At 55.5% G+C, this 11,776-nt stretch overlaps 2 annotated features.

Annotated features, from left to right (window-relative positions):
• Positions 1,310-2,021: an enhancer, noted in NCBI's record as "NANOG-H3K27ac hESC enhancer chr20:32288383-32289094 (GRCh37/hg19 assembly coordinates)". NCBI's record gives its function as "activates a minimal SCP1, AML or CMV promoter by ChIP-STARR-seq in primed H9 embryonic stem cells {active_cell/tissue: H9 hESC(primed)}" and the evidence as "EXISTENCE:reporter gene assay evidence [ECO:0000049][PMID:30033119]".
• Positions 2,022-2,732: an enhancer, noted in NCBI's record as "NANOG-H3K27ac hESC enhancer chr20:32287672-32288382 (GRCh37/hg19 assembly coordinates)". NCBI's record gives its function as "activates a minimal SCP1, AML or CMV promoter by ChIP-STARR-seq in primed H9 embryonic stem cells {active_cell/tissue: H9 hESC(primed)}" and the evidence as "EXISTENCE:reporter gene assay evidence [ECO:0000049][PMID:30033119]".

Genomic DNA, 11,776 nt, shown 5'->3' with positions numbered 1-11,776 from the left:
CCCGGCTAATTTTTTCATTTTTTTTTAGTAGCGATGGGGTTTCATCATGGTAGCCAGGATGGTCTCGATCTCCTGACCTCATGATCCGCCCACCTCAGCCTCCCAAAGTGCTGAGATTATAGGCATGAGCCACCACGCCCAGCCTAAAAAAATATTTTTTTTTTTTTTTTTTAGAGAAAAGAGTTTAATGAACCCCATGTACCCAACGTCCAGTTCCAACAGTTATCAAGATGTTGCCACATTTGCTTCTGTTCCTTTTTTCTTTGTTTTTTTTTTTTTTTCCATTGATCACTCTTGGGTGTTTCTCGCAAAGGGGGATTCCGCAGGGTCATAGGACAACAGTGAAGGGAAGGTCAGCAGACAAACAAGTGAACAAAGGTCTCTGGTCTTCCCAGGCAGAGGACCCTGCGGCTCTCCGCAGTGTCTGTGTCCCTGGGCACCCGAGACTAGGGAGTGGTGATGACTGTCAACGAGCATGCTGCCCTCAAGCATCTGCCCAACAAAGCACATCCTGCACCGCCCTCAATCCACCCAACCCTGAGTGGACACAGCACATGTTCCAGAGAGCACAGGGCTGGGGGCAAGGTCATAGATCAACAGGATCCCAAGGCAGAAGAACCTTTCCTACCACAGAACAAAGTGAAAAGTCTCCCATGTCCACCCCCCTCCACACAGACACAGCAACCATCCGACTTCTCAATCTTCTCCCCACCCTTCCCCCTCCTCTACTCCACAAAACCACCATTGTCATCATGGCCCGTTCCCAATGAGCCGCTGGGCACACCTCCCAGACGGGGTGGCGGCCGGGCAGAGGGGCTCCTCACTTCCCAGTAGGGGCGGCCGGGCAGAGGCGCCCCTCACCTCCCGGATGGGGTGGCCGGCCGGGCGGGGGGCTGACCCCCCCACCTCCCTCCCAGACGGGGCGGCCGGCCGGGTCGGGGGGCTGACCCCCCCACCTCCCTCCCGGACGGGGCGGCCAGCCGGGCGGGGGCTGACCCCCACCACCCTCCCGGACGGGGTGGCTGCCGGGCGGAGACGCTCCTCACTTCCCAGATGGGGTGGCTGCCCGGCGGAGGGGCTCCTCACTTCTCAGACGGGGCGGCTGCCGGGCGGAGGGGCTCCTCACTTCCCAGACGGGGCGGCTGGGCAGAGACACTCCTCACCTCCCAGACGGGGTCGCGGCCGGGCAGAGGCGCTCCTCACATCCCAGACGGGGCAGCAGGGCAGAGGCGCTCCCCACAGCTCAGACGATGGGCGGGAGGGCAGAGCCGCTCCTCACTTCCTAGATGGGATGGCGGCCGGGCAGAGACGCTCCCCACTTTCGAGACTGGGCAGCCAGGCAGAGGGGCTCCTCACATCCCAGACGATGGGTGGCCAGGCAGAGACGCTCCCCACCTCCCAGACGGGGTGGCGGCCAGGCAGAGGCTGCAATCTCGGCACTTTGGGAGGCCAAGGCAGGCGGCTGGGAGGTGGAGGCTGTAGCGAGCCGAGATCACGCCACTGCACTCCAGCCTGGGCACCACTGAGCACTGAGCACTCCGTCTGCAATCCCGGCACCTCGGGAGGCCGAGGCTGGCGGATCACTTGCGGTCAGGAGCTGGAGACCAGCCCGGCCAACACAGCGAAAACCCGTCTCCACCAAAAAAATACGAAAACCAGTCAGGGGTGGCGGTGCGGCCCGCAATCGCAGGCACTCGGCAGGCTGAGGCAGGAGAACCAGGCAGGAAGGCCGCAGTGAGCCGAGACGGCGGCAGCACAGTCCAGCCTTGGCTCGGCATCAGAGGAAGACCGTGGAAAGAGAGGGAGAGGGAGACTGTGGGGAGAGGGAGAGGGAGACCGTGGGGAGAGGGAGAGGGAGAGGAAAAAATATATTTTTTTTTAAATTCTTTTTTTTTTTTTTATTGATCATTCTTGGGTGTTTCTCGCAGAGGGGGATTTAGCAGGGTCATAGGACAATAGTGGAGGGAAGGTCAGCAGATAAACAAGTGAACAAAGGTCTCTGGTTTTCCTAGGCAGAGGACCCTGCGGCCTTCCGCAGTGTTTGTGTCCCTGGGTACTTGAGATTAGGGAGTGGTGATGACTCTTAACGAGCATGCTGCCTTCAAGCATCTGTTTAACAAAGCACATCTTGCACCGACCCATTTAATCCTGAGTGGACACAGCACCTGTTTCAGAGAGCACAGGGTTGGGGGTAAGGTCACAGATCAACAGGATCCCAAGGCAGAAGAATTTTTCTTAGTACATAACAAAATGAAAAGTCTCCCATGTCTACTTCTTTCTGCACAGACACGGCAACCATCCGATTTCTCAATCTTTTCCCCACCTTTCCCCCCTTTCTATTCCACAAAACCGCCATTGTCATCATGGCCCGTTCTCAATGAGCTGTTGGGTACACCTCCCAGACGGGGTGGTGGCCGGGCAGAGGGGCTCCTCACTTCCCAGTAGGGGTGGCCAGGCAGAGGCGCCCCTCACCTCCCGGACGAGGCGACTGGCCGGGCGGGGGGCTGACCCCCACCTCCCTCCCGGACGGGGCGGCTGGCCGGGCGGGGGGCTGACCCCCCCACCTCCCTCCCGGATGGGGCGGCTGGCCGGGCAGAGGGGCTCCTCATTTCCCAGTAGGGGCGGCCGGGCAGAGGCGCCCCTCACCTCCCGGACGAGGCGGCTGGCCAGGCGGGGGGCTGACCCCCCACCTCCCTCCTGGACGGGGCGGCTGGCCGGGCGGGGGGCTGACCCCCCCACCTCCCTCCCGGATGGGGCGGCTGGCCGGGCAGAGGGGCTCCTCATTTCCCAGTAGGGGCGGCCGGGCAGAGGCGCCCCTCACCTCCCGGACGAGGCGGCTGGCCAGGCGGGGGGCTGACCCCCCACCTCCCTCCTGGACGGGGCGGCTGGCCGGGCGGGGGGCTGACCCCCCCACCTCCCTCCCGGATGGGGCGGCTGGCCGGGCAGAGGGGCTCCTCATTTCCCAGTAGGGGCGGCCGGGCAGAGGCGCCCCTCACCTCCCGGACGAGGCAGCTGGCCGGGCGGGGGGCTGACCCCCCCACCTCCCTCCCGGACGGGGCGGCCGGCCGGGCGGGGGGCTGACCCCCCCAACTCCCTCCCGGACGGGGCGGCTGGCCGGGCGGGGGGCTGACACCCCCCACCTCCCTCCCGGACAGGGAGGCTGGCCGGGCGGGGGGCTGACCCCCCCCCACCTCCCTCCCAGACGGGGCGGCTGGCCTGGCGGGGGCTGACCCCCACCTCCCTCCCGGACGGGGTGGCTGCCGGGCAGAGACGCTCCTCACTTCCCAGATGGGGTGGCTGCCGGGCGGAGGGGCTCCTCACTTCTCAGACGGGGCGGTTGCCAGGCAGAGGGTCTCCTCACTTCTCAGACGGGGCGGCTGGGCAGAGACGCTCCTCACCTCCCAGACGGGGTTGTGGCCGGGCAGAGGCGCTCCTCACATCCCAGACGGGGCGGGGCGGCGGGGCAGAGGCGCTCTGCACATCTCAGATAATGGGCGGCCGGGCAGAGCCACTCCTCACTTCCTAGATGGGATGGCGGCCGGGAAGAGGCGCTCCTCACTTCCTAGATGGGATGGCGGCCGGGCAGAGACGCTCCTCACTTTCCAGACTGGGCAGCCAGGCAGAGGGCCTCCTCACGTCCCAGACGATGGGCGGCCAGGCAGAGACGCTCCTCACTTCCCAGACGGGGTGGCGGCCGGGCAGAGGCTGCACTCTCGGCACTTTGGGAGGCCAAGGCAGGCGGCTGGGAGGTGGAGGTTGTAGCGAGCCGAGATCACGCCACTGCACTCCAGCCTGGGCACCATTGAGCACTGAGTGAACCAGACACCGTCTGCAATCCCGGCACCTCCGGAGGCCGAGGCTGGCGGATCACTCGCGGTTAGGAGATGGAAACCAGCCCGGCCAACACAGTGAAACCCCGTCTCCACCAAAAAAATACGAAAACCAGTCAGGCGTGGCTGCGCGCGCCTGCAATTGCAGGCACTCGGCAGGCTGAGGCAGGAGAATCAGGCAGGGAGGTTGCAGTGAGCCTAGATGGCAGCAGTACAGTCCAGCTTCCGCTCGGCATCAGAGGGAGACCGTGGAAAGAGAGGGAGAGGGAGAGCGAGAGCGAGAGCGAGAGCAGAAAAAATATTTTTAAATCAATACTACACATAGTACAAAACTCAAAGTTATAAAAAGTTGATAGCCAGCATAGTGGCTCACGCTATAATCCTAACACTTTGGGAGCCTGAAGCAGGCTCATTGCTGGAGCCCAGGAGTTCAAGACCAGCCTGGGCAAGAGGGAGACCCTGTCTCTATAAAAATTACAATTAGCCTGGTATGGTGGCATGTACACCATGGGGAGGCTGAGGTGGGAGGATCACCTGAACCCGGGAGGTTGAGGCTGCAGTGAGCTGTGATCATGCCATTGCACTCCAGTCTGGGTGACAGAGTGAGACCCTTTCCCCGCCCCCTGCAAAGAAAAGGGCCGGGCATGGTGGCTCTCACCTGTAATCCCAGCACTTTGGGAGGCCGAGGCAGGCGGATCACTTTAGGTCAGGAGGTCAACACCAGCTGGCCAACATGGTGAAACCCTGTCTCTACTAAAAATACAAAGATTAGCTAGGTATGGTGGTGTGCGCCTGTAATCCCAGCTACTTGGGAGGCTGAGTTGGGAGGATCGCTTGAACCTGGGAGGTGGAGGTTGCAGTGAGCCGAGACCACACCCCTGCACTCCAGCCTGGGTGACAGAGCGAGACTTTGTCTGAAAAAAAAAAAAAAGTGTGTAACAGGGAAAAGTCAGGTTCCTTCCTACACCTGTGCTGCATCCCTAGGCCCTTCCTTTGCTGGGGCACCCACTGTTAGCACTTTCTCATACAGCCTTCCTGGAATATTCTATGCACAGCCACCTATTTTTATCTTAAAAGAAACTTTTACATTGCAATGTCATCTCAACTCTTTGGCATTTCTTCCTTGTCCTCTGTGTGTTCGGCGATCTCTTTGATCAATAATCCAATATAAAAGTGAGTCCTTTCTTTGAGCCTGTTTTCCCCCTACGCCCCTGACAGCTTCCTCTCCCAAATATCTTGGGCAGATCCTTGCCGTGATCAGTGTGAAGACGATGGCCCCAGGTGTCCTGAGCCTTACAGTAGATGACACCAAGCATTCAGGCCCACAGAACTCCAAGTAAAAGGGGAAGGACAAAACTCAAGTTAATTTGGGCCTCTTCTGCTGCTCTGCTCCCAAATTAGAGATGCTAAGTGAACCCATGTGAGCGCGGTGACTCACAGGCCCAGACGCCAAGAAGCTGCCTTGTTTGATGCTCGCCGCTGCAGCCTTCCACACTGAAGCTGCAGAAGGGATTCTAGTGACAGTGTTTCCTTCCACATTGTTCACTTTTACCTCTCCATGAGTGCATTTGGGGTGTATAAGAATCAGACTTTGAACGTGGCTCTCTCCTAAACCAGAACACCATGCTGTACTCAACCTCTCAAAACGAAGCCCACGTCACCACAATTTGTGACTTCAGATGGGTTGCTTTCTATGACAAATTTGAGGATCTTTATAAAAATAAATTTTTTTTCCTCCGCTTGTCTCGTTCCAGATTCACAGGGGGAGAGTTTGTCTTAGTTCAGCCTTGAAGGGCATTTGGGGTGAGCAAGTTTTGATTTTCAGCAGAGGGTGCCCTGTAGAGTGGGACCCACTCTCGTGCTGCCCAGATAGAAGACAGAGGGAGATGATGATCATGTAATCCTTTAGATAAAAAATAAAAATGAAATTAATTAAAAAATAAAGAAGACAGAGGGAGAGCTGAGCTCTCTTCTGAGTGTTGTTCTGAGAAAGGGCTTCTGAACGGAGGGGACCTGTTTTCTGTGCTGGGACTCTGTGCTCAAAGCTGCTGCAGATGTCATAATTTAATAAACAAGACAGAAGCCAGGCGGAATGCAAGTGTGGGTCCCAGTGTCTGCGACAGAAACCTCATTCTCATTGCTCTTCTGGCCTCTCCCTCCAGCTTCTCCTTGTGGGCTGGATGTCAGCTGGGAGAAGGATCAGGGCCAGACCACATCAGCTCCTTTAGGACACTCCTTTTTATTTTTATTTATTTATTTTTGAGATGGAGTCTTACTCTGTTGCCAGGCTGGAGTGCAGTGGTGCGATTGAGGCTCATTGCAACCTTCGCCTCCCAGGTTCAAGCGATTCTCCTGCCTCAGCCTCCCAACTAGCTGGGACTACAGGCGTGTGCCACCACGCCCAGCTAATTTTTGTATTTTAAGTAGAGACGGGGTTTCACCATGTTGGCCAGGCTGGTCTTGATTTCTTGACCTCTTGATTCGCTGCCTCAGCCTCCCAAAGTGCTGGGATTACAGGCATGAGCCACCGTGCCCGGCCATGTTCTTTCTTTAACACATTAAATAACAACATCTGGCCAGGCACAGTGGCTCACGCCTGTAATCCCAGCACTTTGGGAGGCTGAGGCAGGTAGATCACCTGAGGTCAGGAGTTCGAGACCAGATTGGCCAACATGGTGAAACCCCATCTCTACTAAAAATACAAAAATTAGCTGGACGTGGTGGCACATGCCTGTAGTCTCAGCTACTCGGGAGGCTGAGGCAGGATAATTGCTTGAATCTGGGAGGTGGAGGTTGCAGTGAGTCAAGATCGCGAAATTGCACCCCAGCCTGGGGACAAGAGCGAGACTTCGTCTCAAAATAAATAAATAAATAAAATAAAAAGATCTAGCATCAGGTTCAAAATGGCCATGATTTCAGAGGTAGGATAGGCATGAGCATATCCCAGGGTACCCACAGCACTGGGAGGGGAGATGGAAACAGCTGTGATTTCTATTGGGGACAAAGTCCCACGTGCTGCCAACAGTCGTCTGGTTTGTTGCCTACATTCAAAATGGAACGAAATGTTCCATTTCAGTTAGAGTCTAGTGAAAATAAAAATGTAATTTTTTTTCTGTCTAAGTTCATGGAACTTGGGGTCCATGGGTCCCAGATTCTGACTCCCTGCTCAAGAGTAGCCTTCCCCGGCCAGGCACGGTGGCTCACGCCTGTAATCCCAGCACTTTGGGAGGCCGAGGCAGGCGGATCACCTGAGGTCAGGAGTTTGAGATCAGCCTGACCAACATGGAGAAACCCCGTCTCTACTAAAAATACAAAATTAGCCGGGTGTGGTGGCACATGCCTGTAATCGCAGCTACCAGGGAGGCTGAGGCAGGAGAATGTTTGAACCTGGTAGGCGGAGGTTGCAGTGAGCTGAGATCGCACCACTGCACTCCAGCCTGGGCAACAAGAGTGAAACTCTGTCTCAAAAAAAAAAAAAAGAGTAGCCTTCCCCACCTGACCACATAGCAGCGGGCATTGTGCCTTTTTTTGGGTTGTTTTTTTTTTTTTTTTTTTTTGAGAAGGGGTCTCATTCTCTTTCCCAGGCTGGAGTGCTGTGGTGTGATCTCAGCTCAGTGCAAACTTTGTCTCCCGCATTCAAGTGATCCTCCTGCCTCAGCCTCCTGTGTAGCTGGGATTACAGGCAAGTGCCACCACGCCCAGCTAATTTTTGTATTTGTAGTACAGACGGGTTTTCACCATGTCGGCCAGACTGGTCTTGAACTGCCGGCCTCAAGTGATCCACCCGCCTTGGCCTCCCAAAGTGCTGGGATTACAGACATGAGCCACCGTGCCCAGCCGCAGCTGGCATGGTTTACCAAGCCCTGAGCACAGGAATCATACAAATACTAGCTAATGTTGGCTGAGTTCTTAGAAAGTGCCAGGTGGTGGTGGAGGCCAGGATTCAGTGACAAAAGAAAGCAGTTCCCACGTGGGGCTCATAGCCTAAGGAGGGAAGACTGACCAATGATGACCACATTCCAGAACTTTGGAGGGTGGGGGGTGCCATGAAGTCATACAGGGCAGTGTGATAGAGGGGGCTTGGGAGGAGAGAATGGGAGGCTGTTTTCCGGGGAAGGCCTCTCTGAGGAGGTGATGTTTGCTCTGAGCCCTGAATACCAAGGGGGGAGCTCTGCAAGCCTGGAGGAAGAGCGTTCCAATCAAGAGTTCTGCAAGTGCACAGGCTTTGAGGAGGGAGCAGGCCAAGGCATTCCAAGGCTGGGAAGGGGCCAGCCTGGCTGACTGAGTGCAGGGGTGGGGCTCACTGGAGATGAAGCCGGAGGCCAGCTGGATCCACCAGGCAGGCTTCATGGGCCAGGGCAAGGGGTCTGGCTTTTTTTCTAAGTGTGGCGGGCAGCCTGTGGCAGGTATAGACGAGAGTGACGTGATGTGGGTTATGTTGGGGGAAGATCCTTCTAGTTCATGTATAGAACAGAGTGTAGGAGCCAGGCCGGTGGCATACATCCCAGTGAGGAAGCCACGTGGTGGTCCTGCAGGGAGACCAGGGTGGGTGACGACAGAGGTAGAGAAGAGTGGGCACATCTGGGGTGCACTTTCGAGAGAGACACAGTGGCCCAGGGCTTTGGAGGGGGTGAGGGAGGGGTGTAGTGAAGGACGCCCATGTTTCCCCTCCTAGGCCTTGCCTCCCAGCTAAGAAACAGACCCTGACCTTCCTTCCCCCGCACCCCACCTCCTCAGCCTCCGCAGTGCCCTCCATGGCCCCTCGGGGGCCTACCTCCTGCCCACTGGGCCCCTGGCATCCCCGGCTTCCCAGCTGGCCCAATTGTTGTTACTCCCCAGGGAGTCATGGGAACACACTCCCCCTGCCCCGCCACCCCCCTTTTCCCAGACAGGGCAAGGCCCTAACAATGTCCCTCAGCCAGCCAGTGGCCTGGACACAATACCCCTGTTTCGGTTTGCTGCCAGCTCCAGGAGGCCTGCTGGGTTTCCTGGCCTGTGTGGCATATATATAACTCTGGCTTCCAGCGGGGATTTTTTTGTTTGTTTGTTTGTTTTTTAAAAAAAGAATCTCTGGCTCCTCCTCTTTGAATATCTTAATATATTATAAAAAGTCTTTCTCTTCCCATCCTGAGCCCTCCCCATATGCCTCCCTGACTGCATTTGCCATGTGCCTGTCAAGCCGGGGACCAAATGCAGGTCAGCAGGTGTCAGTGAGAAAATGACAAAAAGAAAGAAAAGCTGATCACTCCACCATGACCAGCCTCGAATGTGCTGGGGATGCTGAAGGTCATGAGGACAACCTGAGGGCCTGTGACGTGGCGGGCCCTGAGCCTGGCACTTTTTGTACACCACAGCTTGTCACTTCTAAGATGCCATCCAATATGAGATATGCCGTTTTGAGCCCCTAAGAAAAATAGTTACTGACTACAAATGGATATTCCACTGATCCTAGGATGCACCTCAATTTCAGAGAGGTTAAAATATGAAAGAAAAGGTGTCAGAATCAATGGAATATGGTATTATTTCATTTTACACGCTTCGTTGCCCTCCAAACATAGTTTTTTTTTTTTCCTCCTTGTGGCTAATAGAATGTGGGAGGCAGTGCAGGAATTGCTTCATGAAAATTCTGCTATTCTGCAGCCTAACAAGTTTTTCGTTTTTTTCTGTTTTTTTTTTTTTTTTTGAGACAGAGTCTCATTCTGTCACCTAGGCTGGAGTGCAGTGGCGCGATCTCAGCTCACTGCCATCTCCACTTGCTGGGTTCAAGCAACTCTCCTGCTTCAGCCTCCCAAGTAGCTGGGATTACAGGTGTGTGCCACCACAACCAGCTAATTTTTTTATTGTTTTGTTTTTTTATGAGACAGAATTTTGCTCTGTCGCCCAGACTGGAGTGCAATTGGCGTGATCTTGGCTCACTGCAACCTCCTCCTCCCAGGCTCAAGCGATTCTCCTGCCTCAGCCTCCTGAGTAGCTGGGATTACAGGCGTCTGCCACCACGCCCGGCTAATTTTTGTACTTTTAGTAGAGATGGGGTTTCGCCATGTTGGCCAGGCTAGTCTCGAACTCCTGACCTCAGGTGATCCACCCGCCTTGGCCTCCCAAAGTGCTGGGATTACAGGCGTGAGCCATTGCGCCCAGCAAGAAGCATTTCTTCAGAGGAAAAATTGAGAGGGGAGTGTAGGCAAGCCACTTCAGGGAGTCATTCTGCACTCTTCACAACAGCTGACATTCATTGAGCTCTCCCTATGTGCCAGGCATGTTAATAACTCAATGTCCTAACAACTCCATCAGGTAAACACTATGATTATTATCATCACTATTTTACAGATGAAAAAACTGAGCCCCTCAACTGTAAAGGCCTCCTACTCCCACCTTCGCTGTGGCCCTGGTCAGAGGAGGCATAGTCATATGTCCGGTTTCGCCCCACTCCTTGGAAAAGCATGACCCCTCCTGAGAGGCTTGGGTGACGCAGAGAAAGGAAGTTGCCATGGGTGAGGCTTGGAGAGAAGGGAGGTCCCCAGAGCGTGCACTCAGAGAGTGACCAGGGCTGGGGGGAGACTTGAGAATCGACTGAGACCTATGCAGTTACCTTGGACCTCAGACCCTCTGGCCTGAACCCACGGAACATATGGGCCAACTGATGGTGAAGGACTTGGCCAAGGCCACACAGCCAGGCTGCTGGCTGGCACCAAACCCCCTGTCTGCTGTTTGATTACAAATATCTGCCTTTTTTTTTTTTTTTTTGAGATGGAGTCTCACTCTGTCACCCAGGCTGGAGTGCAATGGCTTGATCTTGGCTCACTACAACCTCCACCTCCCCGGTTCAAGTGATTCTCCTGCCTCAGCCTCCCAAGTTGCTGGGATTACAGTCGCCTGCCACCACACCCAGCTAATTTTTGTATTTTTAATAGAGATGGGGTTTCACCATGTTGGTCAGGCTGCTCTCGAACTCCTGACCTCAGGTGATCCACCCACCTCGGCTTCCCAAAGTGCTGGAATTACAGGCGTGAGCCACCGCACCCAGCCACGAATATCCACTTTTCCCTCTCTTCTATGTCCATGTTTTTGTTGTTGTTGTTGTTTGTTTGTTTGTTTTTAGATGGAGTTTCACTCTTGTTGCCCAGACTGGAATGCAATGGTGTAGTCTTGGCTCACTGCAACCTCTGCCTCCCAGGTTCCAGCAATTCTCCTGCCTCAGCCACCTGTGTAGCTGGGATTACAGGTGCCCACCACCACGCCCAGCTAATTTTTGTATTTTTAGTAGAGACGGGGTTTCACCATGTTGGCCAGGCTGGTCTCGAACTCCTGACCTCAGATGATCCACCTGCCTCGGCCTCCCAAAGTGCTGGAATTACAGGCATGGGCCACGACACCCGGCCTGTCCATATGTTATCTTTGGTTACTTGCAAGGCAGAGAAGCTGTGCTGGTACCAGTCAGTTCCTTGGCGGTAATAAGACTAACAGCAGCTCACATTTTTTGGGTGCTCACTCTGTGCCAGGCACTGTACATGAGGGGTGGCTGTTCATCCCTGGAATGGCAGGGCAAGAACTGAGTGAGGCATGCCAGGGAAGGACTCTGGTGGCCTGGAGGGTAAGGCCCTCGCTAGCTGGGGGACAACAACTGTTTAGCACCGTGATGGCCTGGCCAGTATAGCCAGATACTGCTGTTTGAAAAGAAAGCCAGAGGCCAAGCGTGGTGGCTCACGCCTGTAATCCCAGCACTTTGGGAGGCCGAGGCGGGTGGATCATCTGAGGTCAGGAGTTCCAGACCAGCCTGGCCAACATGGTGAAACCCCGTCTCTACTAAAAATACAAAAATTAGCCTGGTATGGTGGCACACACCTGTAATCCCAGCTACTTGGGAGGCTGAAGCAGGAGAATTGCCAGAACCTGGGAGACGGAGGTTGCAGTGAGCTGAGATCACGCCACGGCACTTCAGCCTGGGT

This window comes from Homo sapiens, chromosome 20 (genome assembly GCF_000001405.40).
Source record: "Homo sapiens chromosome 20, GRCh38.p14 Primary Assembly".
Classification (NCBI taxonomy): domain Eukaryota; kingdom Metazoa; phylum Chordata; class Mammalia; order Primates; family Hominidae; genus Homo; species Homo sapiens.
The sequence above is the reverse complement of the archived record's forward strand: the minus strand, read 5'-3'. Positions and strand labels throughout refer to the sequence as shown.